Source organism: Homo sapiens, chromosome 7, assembly GCF_000001405.40.
Source record: "Homo sapiens chromosome 7, GRCh38.p14 Primary Assembly".
NCBI classification, from domain to species: Eukaryota; Metazoa; Chordata; class Mammalia; order Primates; family Hominidae; genus Homo; species Homo sapiens.
The window spans coordinates 95,781,831-95,809,187 of record NC_000007.14 but is presented as its reverse complement, the minus strand read 5'-3'; the positions used below and the strand labels follow the sequence as shown (position 1 = coordinate 95,809,187).

At 39.5% G+C, this 27,357-nt stretch overlaps 1 protein-coding gene across 5 annotated transcripts in view, besides 2 other annotated features; it reads right to left on the bottom strand.

Moving 5' to 3' along the window:
• Positions 1–27,357, bottom strand: part of DYNC1I1 (dynein cytoplasmic 1 intermediate chain 1) — a 337,769-nt gene that overhangs the window by 301,135 nt on the left and 9,277 nt on the right. For all 5 annotated transcript variants that reach the window (NM_001278422.2, NM_004411.5, NM_001278421.2 and 2 more), the window contains exon 2: positions 4,351–4,467. In NM_001278422.2, coding sequence (NP_001265351.1) covers positions 4,351–4,458 — 108 coding nt within the window. In that variant the 5' untranslated portion in view covers positions 4,459–4,467. The remainder of the gene's footprint in view (positions 1–4,350; positions 4,468–27,357) is intronic.
• Positions 15,197–15,491: a silencer, noted in NCBI's record as "tiled region #1852; K562 Repressive non-DNase unmatched - State 23:Low". NCBI's record gives its function as "represses a minimal TATA promoter and a strong SV40 promoter by Sharpr-MPRA in K562 cells {active_cell/tissue: K562}" and the evidence as "EXISTENCE:reporter gene assay evidence [ECO:0000049][PMID:27701403]".
• Positions 15,197–15,491: an enhancer, noted in NCBI's record as "tiled region #1852; HepG2 Activating non-DNase unmatched - State 24:Quies". NCBI's record gives its function as "activates a minimal TATA promoter and a strong SV40 promoter by Sharpr-MPRA in HepG2 cells {active_cell/tissue: HepG2}" and the evidence as "EXISTENCE:reporter gene assay evidence [ECO:0000049][PMID:27701403]".

Here is a 27,357-nt window from a genome sequence, read left to right as displayed (position 1 = left end):
CAACAATTCTGTTATTATTAACTTTGAGCTAAATCACTCATATTTTTGAAGTCTATCTGTCATTAGAGGGAAAACTACCATTTGAAAGCCAATAAGGGCTTATAAGAGTCTTAGAGTCAGACACTCTGCATAACCCAAAATTATGAAATGGCAGTTTAATCTCTTATCAGTGAAGATATCAAAGTTCATGTTCTTTTCCAATTTTAACATTTAAACTACTGAAACAAGTCCCAAAGTTTATGTATACAACAGAGGCAAAGATAGAACTAAGATGAGAAAAAAGATGTTGCAGAGTGAGGATCTGTATCTACTACAGAATCCTACTATGTTTTAATGATTCAACAAGGAGTGATTTTGCAGTATTAGTAATTAAAAATCTTCAAGGTGCCTTTCTCAGCAAGTTATATTTCTGTTGGTGGAGAGTAATCACAGCTGAAACCCAGAGAGGATAATCGAAGAAAGAAAAATTTGTCAGCTGAGAATTGTCAATCACTTTCCTAAAGACATTTCCACATTTATTAGAGAAACATGTGAGGACAGGCCAGGAAACCCCTGGCCATTCTACCTTGCAGCAATTCGGCAGGAAGCCAAGGACAGAATGAAACTTCAGGGTGGCCCCCACTGAGCTCACCTCATTGCATTAAAGCCAATTTTTCATTAAATTGGGCCAGTGTCTTAAATGGTGGCCACTATATTTATTTTAAAATCAGATTTCATCCATAATATCACAGCCAAGAAAGCAGTTGACATCCAAAAGAGCAAAGGGTGGTAATTTTTACACAATATGGACACAGTTTTCTGAATTCTGTGGAGATAATCAACTTGGGTGGTCCTAATTCACACTAGTTTTTATATTCATGGCAAAAAAAGGGCACTTAGTTTAGTATTAAAGAGCATTTCTTTTCTTTTTAATGTTAAATTTATTTGTTTTATTGAAAATATAAGCCTAAAGAAAGTTTATAAAAATCAAGACTATTTAAAGCTATTTCTGATTCTCTATAAACAACACAAAACTAGAAAATCTTAAACTCGGGAGTCAGTGACAGTGGCCAGTCGATATCCCATGGATTCAGGATCAGAAGTTTCCAAAGAAATTTGCAGAATAGAACACCAGATGCTTGGAAAGGATGTCTGGGACGTGCCTCTCAAACCTGCCCTGACTAGTTCATATGTTCATTTATTCACTCATTCATTCATTCTATAACTCCTTTTTGAATGCCTACCATATGTCCAATATATTTGACATTGACTCAATGATTAAAAAACAAACAACAACAACAACAACAAAAGCATATAGCCCTGACCTTGAAAGCTTGCAATCTCTTAAGAGAAAAAGACAAGTGAAGGGGAAAATATAACATCTTGTACTAAACGGTTTGATAATGTCAAGATAGGATGCAGAACTAACCTAGTTATGGGTAAAGGTATCAGAGGCAGCTTTCTGGGAAAGTGACATTTGAGATGAGAACGGAAAGACATGCAGTTAACAGCCAGGTGAAGGACAGCCAGGTAAAGTTAACAGCCAGGCAAAGGATGATAGGAAGAAGTAGGAGATCAGTGAAAGCAGAGGAAAGAGAACATCTTAAGCTCTCTGACAAGAAAGAATGTAGTCCATCAGGGTATATGTAAGCAGCTGCATCTGACTGGAATGTGGATTTTAGGGAGAAAAAAAATGGAGGCAAAAAGAGAGTCCTGCTATGCCTGTCCAGACCTGATGATCACTGCGAATTGGGGTAGGGGGTGGTGAAAGGGTGACTTCAGGTTTCTGATCTGGGAAACTGGCTGTATGAGCCTTAGAGGTAGCCCCCTTTTAACTCCAGACTCCTTCACGTGATTGGAGATAAAGGGGGCCTGGCTCTAAGGCTTAGACCTCTGAAGCCCAGCTTCCCCATGTGAGAAAGGATCAGAATAGATGACTTCCAGATTCCTTTCAGCCACAAAATGCTCCAACCCCATGAAACTGGGGGCCTTGAATTTTAAGACCCTTCCAACAATGGGGCATTTTTATAAAATGGCCTCACCAGCAGAGATCCTAAAAATGTATGTGACCATTCTATGAAGCCCCATTCATCTACTCTGATAGCTGATCTCAGAAGCAGAATGACAGCTGTCTTTTACTGCTCTGGGATCTTCTATTATCCTCTTGAATCTGTGAGGAAGACATCATTCCTTTCTCCATTTTACAGAAGAGGAAACAGGTTTAGAGAGGACCCATACCCACTCAGGGCCATTCTGTGAAGGGCAGATCCAGGTTTCCCAGCCATGTTCAACTCAAAAGCCCCTGTGCATAATCACTGTGTTTATGTCTTCTGTCTTACAGCCTTGGCTGCTCAGAACAAACCAAGTCAGCACAGTTGCAGAGAGTGCATGGACAGAATCAAGGAAAGACCTCTTTGAGGGGAGATGGGTGTGAAGGGAAAAGATTTCAAGCCAGGAGAGACACTACAGATGATGTGGTCCAACGGATCCCAAAATCTGACCCTGCTTCAGATCACTCAAATCAGAAACTTTGAGGATGGAAGACTCGGACTCTGTATTGCCATCTGACTCTGTAGAGCACAGTTCAGTTATCACAAGCTTCAATCACCAAGTCAGTTTAGAAATGAGGAAACTAGAACTTCATATGATGTCAATTCCAGAACAAGGCAACAACCAGGAATGTCTAGAGTCCAGGTGTTCCACACCCTCCACTACCTGCAGCCTCCAACCTCCCAGGGCTCTTCTTGCTTTGAAACCAGCTAAATCCTCACCAGGCAAAAGTGCTTGGTTGTAGAATCAAAAGGGGAGACTGCTTCCATCAGTCTAGTTTGCCTGTAATTTCCCCAAAATGTGTAAAATGAAAAAGATGAAGCAGACAGCATAATTTGGAACCAAATTTCCCATATCACATCACATTTAGTGGTAATTTTATGACATTCAAGTTGGATATTAGAATGTCAGTTTAAAAGGAAACTGGTTATTAGTAAAGGATAGCAGGTGCTTTAAAACTACAGTAAGTGTTGACATTTGAGGGAAAGGAAATATAATAACTTAATGCTTTTTTTGACTTTGCATGGAAATGAATAGCCATTCCTTGTCAATTCTCACCTCTACTTCACTCAAAGACTGAGTATGTAACAGCAAAGATCTCAAAGGGAAAAAACATTATGTGTGATGTCAAGGACAAATAAATGATCACATCAATCAACACGTAATGGTATGGAGAGATGAGAGATGCCAGAAGGCTAAAATGCAACTGCAATCATCTTTTATTTTGTTGGAAAATAATAATTGTTGTAAATCTATTACCTTGGTCTCTCAGCCTTGTAGTATGAAACAACACTTATTTAGATTGTAAGGCATCAAAATAAGTTTTCTTTTTCCTTACAGAAGAACTGCATAGGGAAGCAGCTCTGGTTTCTATACACAAAAGCATATCATACCACACGAAGTTTTCTTCTTAGAAAGCTATTCAAAAATATCTTTGGTATCTGGTTTTTGTATAAGATGTGGGCTATTCCTACACTGCCACGACAAATTAGAGAATTAAAAATAAATTATTTGTTTGATTCACATAGTGGAAGAAAACATGATATGACAACAAGGCATTGGATTGGGCTTATAGAATCCAAGATTCTAGGTCTAGAAAGTAGAAAAGCTACATTTCACCTCTGGGTCTCTGCTGCTTTGTTGGCATAAAGAAAGGCCTCAGTGGAAAGTCTCTGAAATTTCAGCCAGATCTAACATGTAATAATTCTTTGTACTGTACTATCCTATTTACCTTCTCTCTAAGAGAAGAACAGCCTCCCCCTTACCAAACCTAAGATGCTTATTTACCATAAAAAATATATATACCATTTTGGAAACAATAGAAATCCATTGGCATAGTTTTCTAATTTTCTCCTAAAATGTTCCTGCTGGTAGATTTTTCAAAAAACCCTTTTCTTAAAACTAACACTTATAGTTAGAATATACTAACTATATTCTAGATACTGCTAAGTGCAACCCCACAAAATAAATGCATTATTGTTCTCATATTAAAAATAGGAAACTGAGGCACAGAAAGGTTAAGAAGTTTCTAACAATAACAAGATCAGAGACCATCCTTAGAGTTCTCTTCAAGTCTGTGATAAGCCTGGAGTCTGCAGGCCTCTGGAGCCTCTGGACCAAATGTTATCCCCCATTTAGGTGATGGCTGACCAGCACATAGCAGAGGGCAACAACTTTACCATGCAGAATAGGAAGATAATCATTTTATTCAGATATCATAAAAGGATTCTTTTAGGGAGTCCTATTTATCCATTTGACCAGCCCCTCAGAATCAAGTGATTTTCCTTTTTCCCCCACAACACCCCAACACCCAGGATTTACCTCTTTCTTTTTCCTCTCCTCTTCCTTCCGTTTCTTCTCTTCTCTTATCTGTGCTAAGCGCTGCTTTTTGCGCTCTAGCTCAGCTTTTAAGTCACTTTTGTCAGACATGTTGGTTTCCTTGGAGAAAGAGAAAAAAAAAGTGAACATATATATAAATAACTTTTCTGTATATCATTGCAAAAATCATTTTAAAGAAAATGCAACTTAACAATGTGACTTTTGGATGATCAACAAGAGGTTGTATTATTTAGCCTATGTGAAAGAATCAAAGAAACAAATTAAGTTAGATCTGGTCTAAGGATATAAAATATTTCCCTTTTAGGTATATATACATAAATATCTGAAGAAATACAAGGTTATTATGTGGCCTAAGCAAGAATCGCAACTTCCAGATAAGCAACACATTTTCTATACAAGTTTCTTAACAAATAAACAAAAATAAATAAGAGAATCAAAAAAGAACCATCATCATGACTTCCAATTTAGATGATAATGGAGCAATTCATCCCCACACTGAGAAAAGAAAACAGCCTGTCATAAACCCCTAGAGATATGCCCTGCTCAAATTTCTATGGACTCAATAAACATTCCTCCACTGAGCTCGGATGCATGGAGATTTCATTTTGCCTAACATTATTTGCATCAGGGAAGACAGCCGCTGAAGACCGAACATGTTAATCTTCTTTCTCGGTAAAACTCCTGAAGTGTCACAGTTAATTTCATCTCTAACACAACCCTATTTCTATAAAGCTTTCATTTGCATTCTGAATGTAATATTGCTTATTCTGGCACCTTCACTTTCCAAAGCAAAGGGTGTTTGTGAGCACATGAAACGGGAGATAACACCATGGCAAGTTCTTGGGAAAATTTATCCAAACAAGATTTAATTTTAATGTTAATCATGATGACGATGCTGGTAGTGATGGTGCCAGTAACATTTTTAAATAAAATCAGTTTGAAGAAGACTCTTACTAATTACCAATGATTATATATTTGAGTCTTTTGTGCTCCCAAATGAAAACTAACAAAATGGAAACCTTGAGAAATGAAGAGCTGCCCTCGCCCAAATTTCTAAAATAATGGGGAAAAATTGACTAACCGTAAATGTCATGAGTATTCATTCACATACTATTTGTATGCAACTAGGATAAATATATAATGTATCTTGAAGTAGATGACAGAGCAATGGAAGGAAAAAAATACCAAAGAATACAGAACAATGAAAAATTCTCAACTTTTTTGTCGTTGTCCCCAGACGGTAATCATGAATCTACAGTCACTCTGGGACACACTTTCAGACAAATACACAAGTTGGGAAATACACTGTTTTTCTACTATACACATTTCTGCTCACAGTGTGACAGCGGAGATTTGTGAAATAATCAGAATGATTGCAATAACCAATCTGTGCCACTCATGATCACACTGTTTCTTCATTTTTCAACAAATATTTGCTGTATTTAATCTGTGCTAGGCACTTTATAATGAATAGGGATACAAAGATAAGCAAAACCAGATTCTCTCCTTCAAAGAGCGTATAGCTCAAATTTGTGGACATGCAGTGTGGATGGAGATGTTCTCTGAGATCTTGGCTTATTGATCACTCAGTGCCAGGCCTTTGACATTCATTATCACATGTAATCATATCAATCCAAGTACACCATTCTTATTATTAATTCCTTTTCATAATTAAGACAAAGGAGGTTCAGCAAGAACTGAGACTGCCTACCCAATAGATGGCAGAACCTAAATTCAAGCTTGTCCGTGCTCTGACCTACTACAACTTTGTGATACCCAGTGTACAAGTTCAGAGGAATGCAGAGCAAAATGCTAACCAAGGTTTGGTGGAGTATGCCAGGGGAAGCATTGAGGAATAGGTAAAATTGGGACTGGGTATTGAATGAGGTCAGAAACTAGCAAGAGAAGGGCATATTTGGATGTGTGAAGACCTGTCAAAGAGGGAACTGACAGATTGAGTGCAAGAGATGTGGATAAATTCAACTCAAGAAACAGAAAGTTGAGGCCAGGTGTGGTGGTTCATACCTGTAACCCCAGTGCTTTGGGAGGCTGAGGCGGGAGGACAGCTTGACGCCAAGAATTCACGGTTACAATGAGTTATAATCATGCACTGCACTCTAGCCTGGGTGGCAGAGTGAGACTGTTTTAAAAAAGAAAAAAGAAAACAAAGTTTAATTGACAAGAATGGATATGTTGAGGCAACCTGGAAAGCCTGGACAAAACAGAAAATTGAGTTCTATTTGGTGTAATGGGTGATGGGAAATCATAGCAGATTTTTGAAAAGAAAAGTGACAAAATAAAAATGGAATTTGCTTAAGCCTATTCTTGTCCCTGCCTGTATAACAGACTGGAGCAAAAACTAGAAATAAGGCAAGCTGCTGGGAAACTAATGCCAACTTCTCTCTGATTCAACTGTACCTGTACGGGAATGGTAGGCGAATGTGGAGACAGAAGTAGAGAATGTGCATTAGCGAGAGCACAGCCAAGAGGGACCAAGGAACTCTTAGTAGCCTTTAAATATGGAAGCAAAAAAGGAAGGTCCAGTAACAATTTGACTTTGAGAAAGCAAAGGGGATGGCAGTGAAATTAGGAAGAAAAGGCAAAGAGGAAAATGGTGAAAAAACTCCTTGCAGCATGTATGTCATAATTTGGGTATCAGTGGGACTTCTGGGCAGAATGCACAAATACAACACTACAGATGGGGGGAGAAGTGGGATGGGGGACTGAAGTTGAGGAATAGAGTTTGGAGTCATCCCCCTACAAAGGGCTGTTGAAACAGGAGATGCAATTCAAAGTCTTAACAGAGCCAAGGGAGTAATTGAGCAAGCAGAGCCGTGACTGAGGGCCAGCCAGAGAGGAAATGCCCTGTCCTCAGGAGGTAGATCCACCAGGTCCGACTGAGGGTCCACACGGAAGGACACAGACCTATGAAGTTAGATCTTCTGATCTTTTTCTTTCCAAGAGAAGTCGCAGAACTTCACAAAAGTGAAGTTTATCACTGAAATACAGGTTGCCAATAATTTTCAACACCAATGGGTAAAATTCCTGGCAGGAATTCCAGAAGTCATCTGAGAAGTTATAAATGCCCTTGACCAATGAGGGTCCATCTAACTAGTGTGCTGGAAATTTTTTGACAGTCAAAAATGAAATGTATGATCAGAAAAATCACTGTTAAAGCAATAGCTGTTTCATTCTAAGCTGAAAGCAGCCAGGAGAATCTTCTTAGAAAATGTGAGTTTTCCCCTCCTCCACATTTCCCCAGCTTTTACTTGACCTTTCCCCAACATTTATTTACCTTTTTCCAAATCATCAAAACTGTCTCGTGCAACTTCAGCAATATTTATGGTTATTAAGGAGGAAACCATAATATAAGAAAGTCTTGTATTTGTTATGATTTTCTTGCAAAGAATTTCAATCACAAAAGGGAAGTAAAATGTATTCTCAGAAAATTTCTTCAAAGTGCAAAGGCTTTCTTGCAAATAATAAATATGTCTTACAAAGTTGATCATTTAAGTTGGAATTCCCAGCCGGAGAGTCAATATTTTAAAAATAAACAATAAAAACATTGAGGGAACTTAAAAAAAGATTATATTAGGTAGTGATGATCCAAATAATATGTCTTTAAATGCAGTAGGTTACAATGTTAGAAGACACAACTGTAAAGGGCTTTCCATTTATTGATTTTTTGATCCATTCCAAAGCAGATGCTTAGCATCAACCTCTAGGAGAATAAGGAACCTCAAGAGAATGCCTCATAAAGGGTTTGGAAAGTATACATTATAGTGAATGAACGAGACTTTACACATAGTAAAATGGCTTAAATAGTAGCATTAAATGCAGTGTCAGCAGTGAACTCCGTAGGATTTCCTGGGGGGCTTGCTAGTCTGACCCACTAAATCTCCCTGCACATCAAAGAAAGCAAATCGAGGAGCAAAACATGAGGGACATGAGTTATAGAGATTCCTGTGGCTAATGCAGGTTATTGCTAAGGCAATTCTGATGCTCTCAGTCTAAGAAAATAAGAGTCAAAGCTACCTGCTGCTAATTATTGCTCAGTTACTTCATACACATAAAAAACTGCTCTCTCATTTACAAATGGCAAGGGATCAAGTGGGTAAATCAAACCCACCTCTGGGTATAGGGCTCCTCCCTGTCTGATCATCTACATGTTCCACCACACACCAGCCAACTCTCGGCTTCACTCTACCCAGATTTAGGAGCAATCACAGCTCAGTCTCTCCCCAGCCCCATCCACTGCAATCAGTTGCACTTTTGCACCTCCTGCTCAGCATCCTCGGAGCAGAGTCCCATATTCAGAACTCTTTTTCCATCAGTGGCATCTCCCCTTCCTCACTCACTGTCACCCAGCTTCATTGCCAAATTCACACATCTTATCTCCCTCCACCCCCACATCATAGCCCTTGTTCTCCTGCAAACCCTCCAGCTTTACTATCACTGAACACAATCCCCATTTCACCCCTTGTCTTTCTTTGTCAAGCCAAGTTATACTCACCCCAAAACAGATGTCTCAAAGTTCAAATCAGCTACTACATTTACCCTAGACTCCATACACAAATCCCTAGAGCCTGCTACATTTTTTCAAATTTCAGCTCTCTACTACTGATTTTCCTTTTGTTCTTTGATTTACCCTTTATCCTCTGCTTAGTGTTGTCACTACAGCTCATCTCCACTTATCCTCCCAAATGTCTCAGTTTTGATCACTTTGGCTTCAGCACATCTCTGATCTAGTAAGCTGTCATTCTTTTGATCCAAACAAATGAGTCAATATAAGTAAAGAGCTAAACATTATGCCTGGCAAATACTAAATACCCAAGAAAAGTTGTTTCTCCTTCTCCTCCTCCTCCTCTTCCTTTTCTATCATTATTACCATTAGTTTACCCTGCCCACTCTTGCCCACATCACCAATTGCACCCTAATTCAATAACCATGTCATCACTCAAAGTTCACTGCAATCATTTAAAAAGTGTTACTGTGAGAATTACATGAAAGACATGGGACATTACTGATTTAATAGCAATACATTTAAAGTAAGGAAATCCAATCTGTGTTCCTAGCCATTCTAAAACACTTCAGAGCAAGTAGTAGGAGCTTCTCTATCTAAATGGGTTATAAAATGGAAGGCATGTGGGAAAAGGGATGCGACTCAAAAAAAAAAAAACTTTTTAAAAAATTAAGTGTAGTCATTTAACTCAACAGTAAAAAAAAAGAAAACTTCTCAATTTTTTCTTCTGAACATAAGAATTACATATCAAGCTGTCCCCAGCAGGCATCCCCTGCACCTTACCCACTTCCCCCAGAGGATGGGTTGGTATATGAAGACATGGTTTCTTCTCTAGTTAGGAAGTTAGTTACAGGGAAGGTCTCTCCTGCTATTCCATTATACAAATGGCTCACGGTCCTAAGTTTCTTCTTTTTTTTCTGGGACAGAGTCTTGCTCTGTCACCCAGGCTGCAGTGCAGTGGCCCGATCTCGGCTCACTGCAACCTCCACCTCCTGGGTTCAAGCGACTCTCCTGCCTCAGCCTCTCGAGTAGCTGGGACTACAGGTGGGTGCTACTGGGCCCGGCTAATTTTTGTATTTTTTGATAGAGATGGGGTTTCGCCATGTTGGCCAGGCTGGTCTTGAACTCCTGACCTCAGGTAATCCTCCTACCTGGGCCTTCGCTGGGGTTATAAGCATGAGCCACCACACCCGGCCCCTCAGTTTCAATAGAGGAAAAAATGGGGAGAGGAGGGAGGCAGGAAAACATGAGAGAAAGAAATGTGGATACTGAGGAGGGAGGAAATAAAACTAAAATCAATTTCACATCTTCTCTTGCCTTGCCAGGTTCCCCTACATCTCCTTTACATTTCTTATGTCTGCATATATCCATAGAGAAAGGAAAATGTCCAGCTTTTCTCGAACCCAACAATGAGCTCTATCACCTTCATTTTATTTCTGCACATATCATCATGGTATAGTTTGGTCCTATTTAGAACAAAGTGTCTAGCAGAGGAGATGCAAAGGGTTTAGTTCTGTTTACACAGCTGCAGAGTAACAGCACCTCCCAAAGCTTAGCTTTTGAACAATATAGATCTCTATTTCCTTTCGGTTGTCTAAGTTGGCAGCCGTTTGGGATTCCATTCCTAATGCTGGCATATGCAAATGTATTTTTAAGCTTAAAGTCAGAATCCTAGGAGGTTTAAATCACTGCCCAGCTGTTGCCAGACTTATTGAAAAAATACCCAGAAATAAGTTTTCTTTTCCTGCCTGAAAACAATTGCTCTTGTCAGCTCTTCACTATCATATATTGAACTTTTCATCTGCCACAGATACGTGTAAGAAATTTGATCTTTCACAGCCCCATTTCACCTGCTTAGTGTCTCATAAAATGCAGCTGCCTCTTTCCACTTGGATGGGAGGCCAAGGGATGATACAGACGACCACCGTGAGCCCACTTTTACAGCTATAGCTCAGTCAAAAAAAAAGAGGGTGATAGACATCTCAGGAGGGAGTTGGCCAGTGAAAGGAGGGTTATTTTCTAAATTTTTACAGCCATCAGTACACTATGAAAACAAAATTTTAAATAAAATCCACCTTATAGTAGGACGATGCTCAGGACTGTTCTACTAATACCACAGAAGAGCAGTTCTCAAACATTTTTATCTCAGTACCCTGTTATACCCTTAAAAATTATCAAGGACTTCAAAGAGCTTTAGTTTATGTTTTTATGTAGGTTATCTATTAACATTAATCATGTTAAAAATCAAAACTGATAAAACTTTAAGTATTTAATTATTTTAAAATAACAACATACATGTTATTTATTAACATTTTGTGAAAAAAACATACAATTTCCAAGACCAAAAAAAAAGTAAGATGAGTGTAATTCTTTTACATTTTCACATATCTTTTTAACATCTGGTTTAATAGAAGTCAAATGCTTTCTTATAGCTGCTTCTGCATTCAATCTGTTGTGATATGTTATTTTAGTTAAAGTATATGAAGAAAATCTGGCCTCACACAGATATGTAATCTGAAAAAGGAGGAATATTTTAACAGCCTCTTCAGGTAATTGTGGATATTCTTCACTATTATACCAAAAGTCAACAAATAGCAGTTTCTTAAAGGTTAGCGGCAATGTGAATATGAAACCATATCAATCAATGAACTTTTTGTACTCTGTTACATTAAAATCCATTGGTCTATCCTAAACGTTGAATCGATCTTTTACTCATGTATGATTTTATAATGTCATGAATAGGTTACTTGGAAAATGTAACTGGAAAATAATAAATCATGCAGACCTTCCAAATATTGACACATTATATTATATCTGAAAATCAAATTTAGTAACTTCATCGCCAATCTTTTCAGAAGTCTTTAGGTGACATAAAACTGTCAAGCTCAGGATGGCCCAAAATTCTAATTTTTGCTTGAAAGCTCAAACTTTATCATTAGCAACAAATATTGTCAGTTGTGTTCTTGAAGTGACAAACTCACACCATTGATTTTTGAGAAAATGTCTACCAAATACTGAAGTCTGAATCACCCTAGCTTGTCAGTTGTTCATGTAAAAAATAGTGTTTCTTTTTTTTTAAGGCCGCTAGTTTAGCTCACAATTCAAATTACTGTACAAATGTTTTTCCTCAAGACAACTACTTGGTTGGTAGCAGAAGGCTTTGCGTGTTCCCATTTGTCACACAATAAGACATATACCCAAGAGTAGACATTTAATGTAACTAATTTTTTTTCTGCTTTATGAAGGACATTCTTAAGTGAAGCTGAGTTATTTTTTTAAAAACTGTGCATGTAGCAGTGAAATTTGGGCCACTACTAGTACAGTTTGGTGCTACTGCCTCAAATCACGTTAGAATACCAGCAGTTTTACCCATGATTGCTTTAATATCATCATTGCAAATGTCAACACAGTAGAAAAGACAGATAACATTTTAGTGTTATTATGAAAATAGCTTTGACCTTACAGATCCCTAATGTTTCTGGGGAACCCCTAGGGGTTCCCCAGCTTAGGTTAAGTCAACTGTGACTTAACCTAATTCTGATAAGATAGAGTTGATTCTAAAGCCTACAGAGACATTTACTTGACAAAATTTTGCTAAGTGTTTATATAAATAATCTAAACAGAGGGAGTTCAGGCTTTTTTTAGGAAAAGAAATAGTGAAAGGCAGACTAACAAAATCACTCAGCATTAAACATTCAAGTTAGAGTCAAAAATTCCACAAACTATGATTTAAAAATACCTGGGAGATCTGAGTAAGACTTCTAGATACAGCATAAAGAAAACTAGAGTTAGGAGGAAAGTGAGGCCTTAAAGAAAAGACCCTATAGAGCATGGTGGCATGCGCCTGTAATCCCAGCTACTCGGGAAGGCTGAGGCAGGAGAATCACTTGAACCTGGGAGGTGGAGGTTGCAGTGAACCAAGATCGCGCCATTGCACTCCAGCCTGAGCAACAAGAGTGAAACTCCGTCAAGAAAGAAAGAAGGAAAGAAAGAGAGAGAGAGAGACCCCATAGAACAATGTGTGAAAGATTTCTCACTTGCCTAAGCCAGGTAACAGGTAAGGAAGACTAACTGAGAAGCCACTTTTCATTCCCCATTCTCCTTCTCCCCTCACTAAACACACACACACAAATGGGCGTTAGCCTGGTTGTAAAGTGAAGTAAGACAGTTGTTAATGAACTATAGATTTATGTTTGTGTGATTTTTTTTATTCCTTTGTCCTAATTTTGCTGTAGGCTGCTTTTTTTTTGGTCTTAATTATATTTAATTTTACAAGAGAAAACAAAGGGTGATTTTTACAGACCTCAATTATATCTAGTAGGCTTCTTCATATCACTGAGGAGTTTGCAAACCATCATCTTTGTTCACAGAGGCATTTTTAATTCATTTTACTTTTTTAAATTTAACTTTTATTTTTAAGTTCAGGGGTACATGTGCAGGTTTCTTATATAAATTTGTGACATGGGGGCTTGTTTTATGGATTATTTTATCCCCCAGGTATTAAGCCTAATTTCCAGTAGTTATTTTTCTTGATCCTCTCCCTACTCCCACCCTCCACCCTTCAACAGAGCCCAGTGTGTATTGCTCCCCTCTATGTGTCTATGCCTTCTCATCATTTAGCTCCCACTTACAAGTAAGAACATCTGGTATTTGGTTTCCCATTCCTGCGTTAGTTTGCTAAGGATAATGGCCTCCAGCTCCATCCATGTTTCTGCAAAGGACATGATCTCGTTCTTTTTTATGGCTGCATCATATTCCATGGCATACATATACCACATTTTCTTTATCCAGTCTACCATTAATGGGCATTTAGGTTGAGTCGCTGTCTTTGCTATTGTGAATAGCATTAATAGACTGCTTTAATAATTACAATTATACATGTTCATTTCAAAACAAGAACTTCAAGGATTATATAATCCAGTACCAGCATTTTACCCATAAATAGGGAAACAGATATAGTCATACACATTTACAACCATTAAATGGAAGAGTTAAAATGGAAATGTCAGACTTCCTCATTATTGGGCACTTTCATTAAATAATGCTTTCCTTCCAGTGTTTACTTATTCAAGATTTTACTAATTTAAATCCAAAGAAAGCTCTTAAACAAAAAGCCGTTATGATGGATGCTGATCAGTCTACTTCCGGTCCAGTCTTGCTATCCCTCTGTATCACCACCTGGTGGCATCACATGTAAATTGCATGAGAGAGCTGACACCAGAAGGAAAAGCATTCCTCTGAAATTCCCATACACCCCATCAAAGCCAATACTGGGTAGTCCCAAGCACTGCAGGAGTTTCATTTACATAGGAAGGACCTATTTGTGGCTGTAGAGAACTACTATTTTGGAGGAAAAACTATCTCAATCCATACACACAGTTGAAACATTATGTTGATTTTTCTAGGTTCCTCTCAATTTTATTCATATTGGGTAAATTCTTGACTAGGAAATTCAGAAATTTTTCTAAAATTAAGCCTTTAGTATCACTCTTGCTGAATTTGTGACATGTATTTAAGACTGTTGTGTCTACATATTGTCTCTAGTCCTATTTTCACTGTTTTATGATTCTGAGCTACCCAAATTGTACTACTTTAACTGTAACTTGAGCATTGGCAATTGCAGCACATTAAACAGGAGAGGCTCTCGAGCCCTCAGTACAGAGGCCCATTATGCTAGAGAGAAAAATCAATCCATAGGGTATCTGCCCTCTCATCTAGTTAACAGAGTAGAGATGAGAGCTCTTAAATCTTAAAGGACTCAAAAGCCACTGTCGTCTTTGCCAAAAAGTTTGGAAAATTTTTGTTTAATTTCTGACCCCTATGGTGCATTCCACCAATTTAGAGATTCAATATGCTTCTCTTTGGAAAGGAAACTGTTCCCCAATTAACAGAATCAGCCATTCATTTCTTAGAGTATCTTCCTTCAAGAAACACTCAGATGATATCAAGAGTCCTTAGGAAATGAGAATCTCAAGTAGAATCCTTGAAAGAGTATAAAACTAAAGATGGAACAGTTTGGACAACTAGAGAGCAGTATTTTGGAATTGGGTCACTGGAAATTAGGGCAGAAGAGGAACCGGAAAACAGAATCAGAAGAAAGGAGATGGGAGCCCTCTAGGCACTGTCACAAGGATAACTACATGAAGAAAGAAGTAAGGACTTGCAACAGGATCCTCAGGAAACACACAACCTTAGGTCAAAACAGATAGGAAAGATAAATCGTATACTTAGGCCAAGTATCAGGCAAAGAAGCCAAACAAAGAAAGCTACCATGACTGCACTTTATATAACAGGAAATTATGCATCTGTGCGCCTAGAGGTTCTAAAACATTCATTGAGTAGAAAGGAGCTGCTCCATCTCAAGCGGCACTCCCAAGGAGCACATAGAAAGGGGTGGATCCTCCATAGAGCATCACACAGCTTCCTTTGGAACTCACACGGTGGCTCTTCAGCATCACATTGGGCACATAGTAGGCACTGAGTAAACATTGCCTGTTACGTAAACGAGTTAAAGATGGCCCCTGGACATTGGTCCCTATGCTGTTTACTTCTTCACAGCAGGCTGGGACCATTAGCTCATAACCCACTGGCATAAAACACAAATTCTCACACATCCAATTGGTTAAAATAGAGTTCAAATAAGCATATTTTTAGCCATTTAGACTCTGTGTGCAACCAACATCTGCTAGCCATAGATAATACAAACCCTGTGGCTATAGAAATAATTCTAAACTGCTGTTGCTCTTTGGAACTCTCTGACCCAGAGACTCCCCACCTTGCAGCTGAGCAACATCACCTAGACCTATAGGCCGCAACTTCCATTCCCTTCTGCCCTGGGAGTTCCCTTTTCCTCTTCCACTTCTGGGTGGTGGCCTCATGCTGCTGTCTTTGGGAGGTCTGCCACGAGAGACTTCCTCTCATCCAGTCCTGTCCAAGTACCACCCAATAAAGCTGTTTTGTAATGCTGCCATCTTGTCTTTTCCTTGGTCAGCCCCAAATCCTCGAACTCACCACACCCCACAACCAATTTTCAAGTCCTCCCAATTTGACCACCTAATATTTACCAGCTTGCCCTCTCTGATCCATGTCCTTTCACATTGCATGAGGCCAGTCTTCATCATTGCTTCTGACAATTGCAATACTCTCCTAACTCATCTTCCTCTGCTAAACTTGCGCCCTGATGATACGTCCTCCACGCAATATCAGGGTGAGCTTTCTATCACCAAATCTGATGGTAGTGTACCCATCAGATTTGGGTGACAGAACACTGTTTAAAACACTGTTAGAAAATATGTCCCAACTCCTTACCATGGGCACATGAGATGCTCTTATTTCCCACCTCTCCATCCATATATCCTTCCACTCCCTAGTTCACAATTTACTGGCGCATACCAAGTGGTTTTTTTTTGCCTTTGTACCTTTGCAAATTCCAGAAATGTTATTCTCACCATGTTTAACCTGATGCCCCCTATTCATCTTTCTGTCTCAACTCAATCACATCCCCTCCAGAAAGCCTTCCTAGGGCATCCAGTGTGGAGGAGGAAAAATATCTTTTCCTTCTACTTATCTTAGGTTCATTGGCTGAGACTCCTGTAATGAAAGACAGATTAGAAGGAGAAAATCATACAAATTTATTTAATGTAAGTTTTACATGGTATGGGAGGCTTCATAAGGAAATGAAGACCCAAAGAAACAGTTAAACCTGAATGCTTTCGTAGTAGGCTTCATGAAGAATGAAGAGTTGTGGGGAAAACATTGACTGGCCAAAACAAGTATTATCTAAGAGTAGCAACTAGGGGAAGCATAGCCTGGCCTCTTCATTCAGATTCCTCTCTGTATCCTGTGTTTTCAGAGATAAGGATGCACCCTCCCTCTCACATGAGGGTCCTTTGACTTGCTTCAGAGAAGGGGAGGGGACGGTCAGAGAGACCTTCCTGCACATGCCATTTCTCAAGTTCCTTCAGCTTAAAATATTCAATATGCCAAGGTGCCTTATTTTGGGGTACCATGTCTAAATCCCAGCACAAGACTGGATCATGCACCCCTCACCGGTGCTGTTAGAGTACCCTGCACGTAGTTCTGCTGGAACATGTACCATAGTGCATGACTACACTCTGTTAATGTGATTCTTCTCCTCCTGTTAGACTTAAAGCTCTTAAGACAGGGGCCATGTCTAATTTACTTCTGTACCTTAGTGCCTAGCACTGAGTGCTCAATAAATGTCTCTTGAATTGCTAAACAACTATTGGAGACATTATGTCCATATTGTGCATATTTTCACTAAAATTTTGAGAACTTTCCAATCATCAATAAATTGACTCAGCATTCTATGCTTTTAAAGGACGAAAATCAGAGAAATTTTTCCTCATTATGCAACAAATCTTTCTTCCCATAGGGAATGGCGGGGGAGAGTCATTGTCTCACTCATTAGTACAAATGTGCAACAAACACATACTCCTAACATTGTCTCATCCATTCAACTATCTTTTACTAAATCACTACCATTATATATCTATTGATATAATTTTTCCTGCCTGATTTACATTTTTAATCTCTGTTTTCCGACTCTAAAAGGATGATTTAGCAAAATCCATTAATTTATAATTGACAATCTCTATTGATTATCTCAACGAATAAATTCAGCAGTCTTGAATTTATTGCCCCAAATTCCTTGAGGATAAATTATCATGTTGATGGCTGGGCTTTCTCTTTAACAGTGATGTAAAAATAATCTATGCTTTAGAACAGAGCCATCTATTGCGCTTGGAGCTGTTTTCTCTGAGTTGCTAAGATGATAAATGAACATGTCTAAAAATAAACTACTCTCAGGTAACCTGGCAGACTGATCTTTAAAATAACTGATAACAAGCAAATCTTTAGATATGACTAGCTTTAGCTTTGACTCTGAGTCCTTGGCCTGCTGTATGATAAAGGAGCCAGATTCTCTGTGCAACAAAGTTAAATCAAGACAACATGGGCCAGTAGGCCTGCCTGAAATGGGCACTCTCTCTCGATAGAGGATGCAGGCAAATTTAAGCCATCCAGCTGTTTTTGCAACCCCCAAGTGAGCACAAATTTAAACTATCATATTAAAGGAAATTTCTATCAAGATACATTAATCACAATGAAGGAATAATTTTAATTTCAATAATAAATTTAAATATTATTTAATTCAGATAATAAAGTAAAATTAGATTTTCCTAAAATAGATCAGCATTACACATGCTCACAAAAAATCAATTTATTCTAATCTTCTAAAACTATAAATTAAGAATATCTTCACATCTTAAGACCACTTAATTCTCTCTCAAATTTACTACAAAATACGTATGAATTTGTAATTAAGCCTACCTAATTTTAAGGACCACCAATCCCTGTTGGGGTCATGATGAGTGGAAAAGCACATGCAGAGAAGAGGCCTCTAAGGTAATACTCTATCCTCACAACCAAAGCAAACAACTTTGGCATGTGAAGATCCAGGATTCAAACCCAAATTCTCCACAGCACATGCTCTCAGCCACTTAGCCACTGCATAAGCCTGTAGTTGTGTTTTTTTGCATCTTCTCTTGCCCCACTCTGTTGGCCATATCATCTCTATTGATTTATTCTACTTATCTTGTATTCTTTCTTCGCCATAGTCACCCACTTTATGTCAGCAGTTTTCCTTCTAATGTTTGTTCAACAGATGATAAAGAATATAACAGCTGAGGAAAACACAGAGTTACTAAAGATTCCATAAGTCCATGTAGTCTGTGGTTACCACCTTGCTCACAAGAAAGCAGTGAAAGAAAGTTTCCAAAAAGTAGGTTGACTCAACAAATCAGAATGGAGGAAGACCAGACCTGAGGAAAGCACAGGTGAGTGGTGCTCCCAGGCAGAGGGGGAAGCATGGACAAAGGTGGGAGGTAAGAAGAATGACCAGTTTGTGGGACAAGTAATGAGATATGGATGGAACAGTGAGTACAAAATGGGGTGGAGGAAGACGCAAATGGAAAGGCAGTCAGAGACCAGATTCCAAAGACTGAGTGAGCAACCATCTTAGTTTGCACATAAATAAAGAGGTACACAGGACACAGGATGTACAGTGCTAGAACCAGGAAAGTCCCAGGCAAACCTGGCCAAATTGGTCACCCTATAGCCAAAAGTTGGCTATGCCATGCTTTAAGGGGGTCTGAACTTCTCTGTACGCAGAAGGGAAACACAGAAGGATCTGAGCAAGCACAAGACAAGATAATTAATTCCTAGTGTGTAATTCACTCTACATCAGCCTTTTAAAACATGGGTTGCAACCCACTGGTGAGTTACAAAATCAAGTCAGTGGTCACAGGCAGCCATTTCTGTGATGTAACAGCTTAGAATTATTAGAATGTACTGCACATGGTAAGAAACTTGTTTTGGACACACATACATACATTTACTGTTACATACACATATTATTTATAATTGTTACTTGCAGTTAAACTTTTGAAATATATTGAGCTACATCAATTCTTAAACTGAAAAATTTTTAATTCTAAATTTATCTCTACCTTTATCCTTTCTCAGCCAACATTTTGCATGTCATGACACCCACAGATCATGATGACATTTGCAAGGTATGTTAGGGTGAACAGAGAAAGGTGTTCACTACCACAGGAGACTTACCAGGCTCTGATTACCTTGAGTGCTGCCAAGAAATTAACATTGGGTATACATGGAACCTGTAATGTATTCACAGAGCACTGGCAGGAAAACTGTATCACAGAATGACCAAAGCAAACTCCACTCTATTTGTTTAAATCTACCAGACGATTAAAGAGAAAAAAACATAAAATAAGTCCCTCAATACTCCAAAGTACAAACACATCAAAGTGGGTGTTCTCGAAAGATTAATCAACTTTTCCAGCTACCTTACTATGCAGATAAGAGTGTAGAAAATCAATACTGCCTGAAATGCAGGACCATCACATATTCCCTGCAGACCATGTCAACACAAATGCTAAATGCCGCTCTTGGATTTGGATATTTGCTATTTGCCCCATCAGCACAACCTTTATATTCCTTTTAGAAAGCAAATACCCATCTGAAAAGCTTGGCTGCAAATTCCCTACCCTGGCCCAGCACACAGCATTTTGTACACGAATGGATAACTCAGTGGTATGAAGCAGCATTCAGAGCAGATTTCTCAACCAGTTCTAAAAGGCTTAAACCCTTCTGATACTCATGTGTATTTTTTTAAATTCAAGACTTTTTAAAAAATGTAGCTAGAGTCGGTTTCAACCATCTGTCACTTTGAGTGAAAATAGGATGCAGGCATGTATACATTAGCTTTTAAAGAAAACCAATTCTGGAAGAAAGAATTAAAATGGAGGAAGAATTATATCTAAATTTTCAAGACCATGCATGCTAAGGGGTCACAAAATATCCAAAGTATGTAATAATTTACATGAATACATCTGCCTCCTTTTCTACCTGTCAGGTTGCCCCATATTCCAGAACATTCCTTTATTGAATGGTACTGCAATTATACCTTTCCCACCCAATCACAGCCTTGGGAAGTAGCAGAGTGGAGACATAAAAGCTATTTCTCCACCACCACATAATTAGTGGTAATCAACTGCAAAACCTATTACAATAGAAGGAGAACAGAGTCTTAAACCATACAAAAACGGGGATGAAGTTTTCAGGTTTTCCCCAGTGTGTGCCGCGAAAAGGTGTCCCGACCAACTGACATCGCCCTGACCAACTCACATCACCCTTCCTGTGTGTCTGGTAGGAGAGTCACCTCAATGGCGCCAGCACACCACCTGGAAGCACTAGCTGTGACAAATGTTCCCTGGACTCTGGCTTCATGTGCATCCAGCTTTTGATCTTCCCCACTTCAAAGGCAACTGCTTCCAGCTACTCAGGCCAAAAGTCTTGGAGCCATCTCTGATTTCCCTTTCCATCAAACCCACATCCAATCTATCAGCAAATTATCTCTTCCTTCCAAACATTTCCAGGATCTGTCCACTTTTCACCACCTCCCCTGCTATCACCCTGTCAAAGCCACCATCATCTGTCATCCATATTTCTGCAGAAGCCCCCTAATGGGTCTTCTCATTTCTATCTTTGGCCTCCCTTGCAGCCCATTCCCACACAGCTGCTATAGTAATGCATTAAAACACAAGTCAAGTCATGTCACTTCTCTGCAAAAAGTTCTCCAATGGCTCCCATTTCAGAGTAAAAGCCAAATTCCTTGTAATAGCCTCCATGGCCCTACACAACACAACCCTATCACTTTCCTGATCTCATCCCCAGACATTCTGGCCTACTAACTGTTCCTCAAACACATCAGGTACACACCCACCTCAGGGTCTTTGCACCTCCTATTCCCTCTGCCTGTTACGCATTTTCCCCTACATATCTGAATGGCTTGCTTCTTCAAGACTTAGTCCAAATTTCATCTCATTGAGGTCTTACTTGACCATTCTATTTAAAATGCAAACTATTCCCCACCCACTGTCCCTGCATTGCCATCTTCTCTGCTGCCTTAAGTTTTTCTTCATTATATATATTAGACTTAACATTTCAGTATTTTTTGTTGTTTGTCTCTCCTTTTAGACGTTAACCTCCAATGAAGGCATAGATTTTGTCCATATTGTTCACCGATGTATTGGCAATACTTAGGATAGTGACTGGTCAGAGTAGATAATATTTGTTGAATGAATGAATAAATATGGCTGCAAAAAATGTGTCTGAGTGAACTCCTTTCCCTGTTCCTAGCCTTATGTACTATAAAAAGTGTCAACGCTCCATTGGTTTTAGGATTCCCCTAGATCTGTTTCCCCACCCTCCCTCTCAACCCTTTTGCTTTGTTTTGGTGCCCTCAATTGCCATATTATTGCCACACCTAGATTCTGCCTCCCTTCCCAGTCCTTTTGAATGTATTAACATAATTGGACCACCAGCTTGATTTTTCAATGCCCAGGTTGCCTCTAGACTCAGCCTTTAAGATTATCCTTAATAACCTCACACTAGTCCTGTCCCAGCCATGCCTAGCCCAAACCAAGGGCCCAGAAACTCAAGTTCTCAGCAGAGTTCAGAATACTGACCTATAAGCAAGGGCACTGTGATCCAGTGGGAAGTTAGGTTTCTCTTGGCAAAGTTAGTAAGTTGGCATTTTATGTTGGGGACCTAACATATAACATATACTTACATTGGGTTGCATGTTTACCCATCAGTAAGTTGCTAGAGAATGTGGGCTACCTAAGAACAATCTAACATCTAGACACTCAAAAGTAAGATTCAGACCTTAATTCTGCCCATCTGTATAGCTAACTGCTGGTCCTGATCAGCTGCAGTATGATAGCTGACTACAGGTAAGAATGTTGATGCTCAAGAGTGTCACCGGGTTATTTTCAGCACGAGTGTGTACCCACACACATGTCCATATACAGTCACATAACCCCAAACTCCTTTAGCAGATCAGAGCGCATTTCTCCCCACTGCTCCAGTCCCTGCTACACTGTGACACTTTGCAGGAATGGAGTGGTGGGGCCAAGGGGAAGGAGGATGGGATAATTTACCTTGATGGAAGGAAATGGGAGACTACCTTGGGTTTCTGAGCAAGGTCCTCCATATGTTTCTAAAGCAGGGAGAAGCACACTAATCAACCAAAATTTTTAATTTGCTAAGAGTCAGGAAGCCTAAGTAGTTGGCTCCACGATGCTAAATTTATCTTTATGTTAATTCGGTATAATGAGTCTTTTTACTGAGCCCCTACAAAGCACACAGTGCTGTTCTGGGTACTGTGGGACTTACACAAATGATCAACATAGAGTCTGTCTCAAAAAGCATGTAATATGGGAGGGTCTGAAAACACTAACAACATTGCAGGTGAAATGGGATACATGCATGACAAAGGTATAACGTACTAAAGAGTGCTTGCAAGAGCTGGAGCACAGAGGGGGCTTCCTAAAGGAGGAGCAGTGAGAGCCAGACATTGACATGCGAGTAGGATGCGAACTGGGGATCATTTCCTATGGAAGTGGCCGATGTTTGGGGAATAGCACAGTTCAATGGGACTGTAGCATATGGTCAAATGGGTTTGAGGTGGCAGGGCGCAATGGGGAACAAGTTGGAAAGGGGAATGTTTGGTGCCACACTCTCAGGACATAACTGACCCAGGGCTATTTTTTTCTGCCCTTTGGTCCTGCCCTGCTTCAGAAGAAAGTTATTTATTTTTAGAACATGTAAGAGTCTTGAAAAAATATCAAGAATTTCCATGTTAAACCAATTCAGTCTATTCAAATGTGCTAATCAAGGCAAACTACTGGAATTAACACTTTTCTTACATATCACACTTTTGCTGTATAGAATGAGTGAGAAATTAAGTGTTCAAAATAGATACCTTAGCATTTGCAATACATACATTCTTTGCATAAGATATGCATTCAGGGTGAGAACTCCATACCCCTAGTAATCTCTCCATTTTCTGTTCCTCATACTGTTATATATAATATATATATATATATATATATATATATATATATATATATATACACATACACACATATATATACATACACACATATATATATACATACACACACATATATATACAACAGTGTATATATATAAAGTTGCAATGAAGGCATAGATTTTGTTAATTATATACAATATATATGTATATGGTATTGGGGGTTTCTGGCACATACCTTTGAAATGGCATATTTGTCTACTCTCTGTTTTTGGGAAGGAGGATCAGATTATAAAAACCGTCAGAGTACATTAGGAGATTACTGAGTGAATGAATGAATAAAGGATTTGGTGAAAGAATGAGCCATTAAATGCATGGTGGCTTGGTCAAGTTGGAATTAAGTTAGCAACATTTCTTGGTTTTTGCTTGTTTGTTTGTTTGTTTGAGATAGAGTCTCACTGTGTCGCCCAGGCTGGAGTGCAATGGCGCAATCTTGGCTCACTGCAACCTCCGCCTTCCAGACTCAAGTGATCATCCCACCTCAGCCTCCTAAGTAGCTGGGACCACAGATGCGCACCACCATGCCTGGCTAATTTTTTGTATTTTTTGGTAGAGACGGGGTTTTACCATGTTGTCCAGGCTGGTCTCGAACTCCTGAACTCAAGCAATCTACCTGCCTCAGCCTGGGATTACAGGCATGAGCCACTGCTCCAGACCTCTTATTTGTTTTTAATGGCTGTCACAGGCTGTTAAACTCCCTGAAGTTACTATAGCATTCCCATTGTCTGGCAGGAGGAATTTATAAATGTTTTTTGAAGGCACAAATGAATGAATGTTACAATTTAAACAGTCCCATGGGAAAGGAAATAGGCAAAAGTTGTTACATTTTCCCAATTTGGCACCTGCCCCCTTGTTTATGCTGGCCCCAAGTGAATGGCAGAACCTGGCCAAAAGAAAGAATAATACAAAGTTCTGTCTCATTACAAAGGATCAGAGATTCTTAAATTTTGAGGAAAATTATGTAGAAATTACCAGAGCTTCTCTGACCTCTCACTGATAAGTCTGTTTACAGACAATGTTCACAGGAGGTGACATGCTTGAACTTCCCTAGGCATTGGGAACTCCCTACCTCACAGACAGCCCAGCCCATTTTTTGAACAGCTTGAACCAATCAAAGGTTCTCTATTACATGGATATTAACTCTGTTTTTCACAACAAGTTTGGGCTACAGCAGGTAAGTGTCCTCATAACTATTTGCCAAAGACAGAGTCTTCATGCCCACCCCTTCACCAGTTTACAGCCCACAAGCTCTGCAGCATCACCTCAAGTTGCCCCCACTTTGCATTCAAGGAGTGGGTGGGAGAGGCAAAGAAAAAACAGAGGGGAGAGAAGGTGAGCATCTACCAAGATGAGCTTCACGGACTCCCCTCCATCGTACCCAGACTCTAGCTCGTCAGTCCTTTGCTACGGCACTGGCCCCAAGCACATGGACATTTTAACATTCTGGAATCAAACAAGCAGAATGCCTCCATGATTCAGTCACAATTCATTTATACCACATTAAATTTTAATTTAATTTAACATGACTTTGAAGTGCTGGGGTGGGAACAGGGGAGTTAGGAAATGTACCCCCGATAGACCTGAATTACCAGATCTATCAGAATAGAAGCCAGATTGACACTCTAGAGCTCTCTAGACCAGGGAAAATACTGACTGAACATCTGACCCTGAAACACTCCCACGATCCTAATTCAGGAAGGGAAGTCTTCCAGAATCCCAGGAATTACTAAGCCCACATCCATTTGGGGCCCAGACACACAAGACGTGGTACATTTCAGGAAGTCAATGTTTGTACTAAGCATTTCAAAATGATCCAAGGGGAAAAAATTAAATCCTGTAAGAAATGGAAAATTAAGTGGGATTTATTCTTTCAAACCACAGCACAACACTAGGAAGTAGATACTATTATTATGAATCCTGTTTTACAGATGAAGAAAATTAGGTACAGGCAAGCAAAGTTAACTTGTCAAGATTGCATAGCTAGTAAATGGTGAAACTCAGCTTCGAATCTTATTTCCAGAGGTCATGCTTTTATACTACCTCTTAATCATAATCACATTTTTTCTGTTATCAAATCAGGTCCAAAAACAAAAGAGGAGGATGAAGGTAAAACATTAATTGAAATGTTTTTGTCTGTGTAACACTGATGTCTGGTCAGTCTGCAAATTGAAAGAAGTGATTATTCACTTAATTATTAATCACTACCCTTCTTTGAATCCACATTGTACTTTGTTATATCTCTGAGGCATTTATCCCATTTTAACATATGTGATAATCATTTGATATCTGATAACATATAACCACATTGTAGGTAATAAATTATTCTATTTTCCCTCTATTAGACATTGGCCCCTACGATCTGTAACTTTTTCATTTTCATGTGCCCACCAAGCACTCAGTCTCACTCATGGCTGGCATTCCATAAGTTCTAAATGAATATTCTTGACTAGAATTGAACAACTACGGAAGGAAGCTAATTTGCACCCCATATGTATTTCTTTTATTCATTATCAGTAAAATTTATATTTGTAAGCTCAGTTTTCTGGGAACCTGTTATTCCTTATGATGCTAAAATCATGCAAATGCATTTTATATTTTAATGGGCATTCATTCAGGTGTTAGTGATATGGACAGGAGGCAAGGAAATACTGGGTAGAAGAGGGTGGTTCCCAGCAAACGCTCCACCCTCAAGCCTGGAAACCAACGGCCCTAAATGGGAACAGGCATTTCTGTTTTCATGCCCAAATGTCGCCTTTTCTAAAACCACTCTGGTCTGCCATGCCCCCATCCTGTACCCACAAAAACCCCAAACCTCAGGCTCCATGAGCAGAAGAGTGGCAGAGTGGCAGAGAGGAGCACCAGAGAAGGATAGAAGAGAAGGGACATCTGAACATCGAGAGGAGTTCGGCTGGGGAAGGTCAGAGAGCTGACTGGCCACAGGATGGCTGAACTCCAGGGGCAGATCATCTTCCCACTCCATCCCCTTTCCAGCTCCCCATTCATCCCACTGAGAGCAACCTCCACCACTCAATAAAACCACTATGTTCACCATCCTTCAAGTCCATGTGTGACCTGATTCTTCCTGGATGCCGGACAAGTATGCAGGTACCAAGAGGACAGGGTTAAAAGGCTGTCACCTTATCTCTGCACAAGCTGGTTTAATACTTAGCCATCTACGGACAATAACTGCTAAAAGAGCATTAATTACAATGCATCCCTCGATGCTACCATGGGGCTGGGGCCCAAAAGTGCTCATTCTGGCTCCTGCACCTGCCTGTCTGCATGCTCCCCATCCCATACAGGGTTTGAGCATGCAGTGGCTGAGCAAATGAGCAACACCTCTATTGCAAGTCCCACAAATGGCTCAGGGAACTCTCCCAATTAACTTGTAGAGTTGGTGGCTGAAACCACTACATATGTGGTTACATATCAGTCAGTGTCCCTAGGGGTGCCCCATAGAGACTGTAGTTATTAGCAGGAATAGGCAGACTTCATGGAAGTCCTTCCCTTCCATAGTCATTTGAGTTTATTACGAAAATTCCAGTTCCCTTCCCATAGGACTACACTTAAGGATGCCACTGTAGTCAGGAATGGCCACACAACTGCTTTTGGCTCATGAAACATGAGTAGAGGTGTCATATGTCACTTCCAGGAGGTTTAATATGCAGTATGCAATTTACCACAGGGATTGTAAAAGTATATATCAAGAGGAAGCCTCATGCAGCATGGGCCTCTGAGTGAACATGGTGAACACAGACCCTTGTTGACCCACACTGGACATGTAACGTGGCCAAGAAAATTTTTTTGTTGTGTTGGTCCACTGAGGTTGGCAGTTATTTTTTGTTGCATCATGACACAGCCTAGCCTGATCAAATTCACTCCAATGAGTCGGAATTCTGGTTACTTTTCACCTTCCCTGACAGCGTTGACATCTTCAAGCACCCCTCCTTTACCATCCCCATCTTAA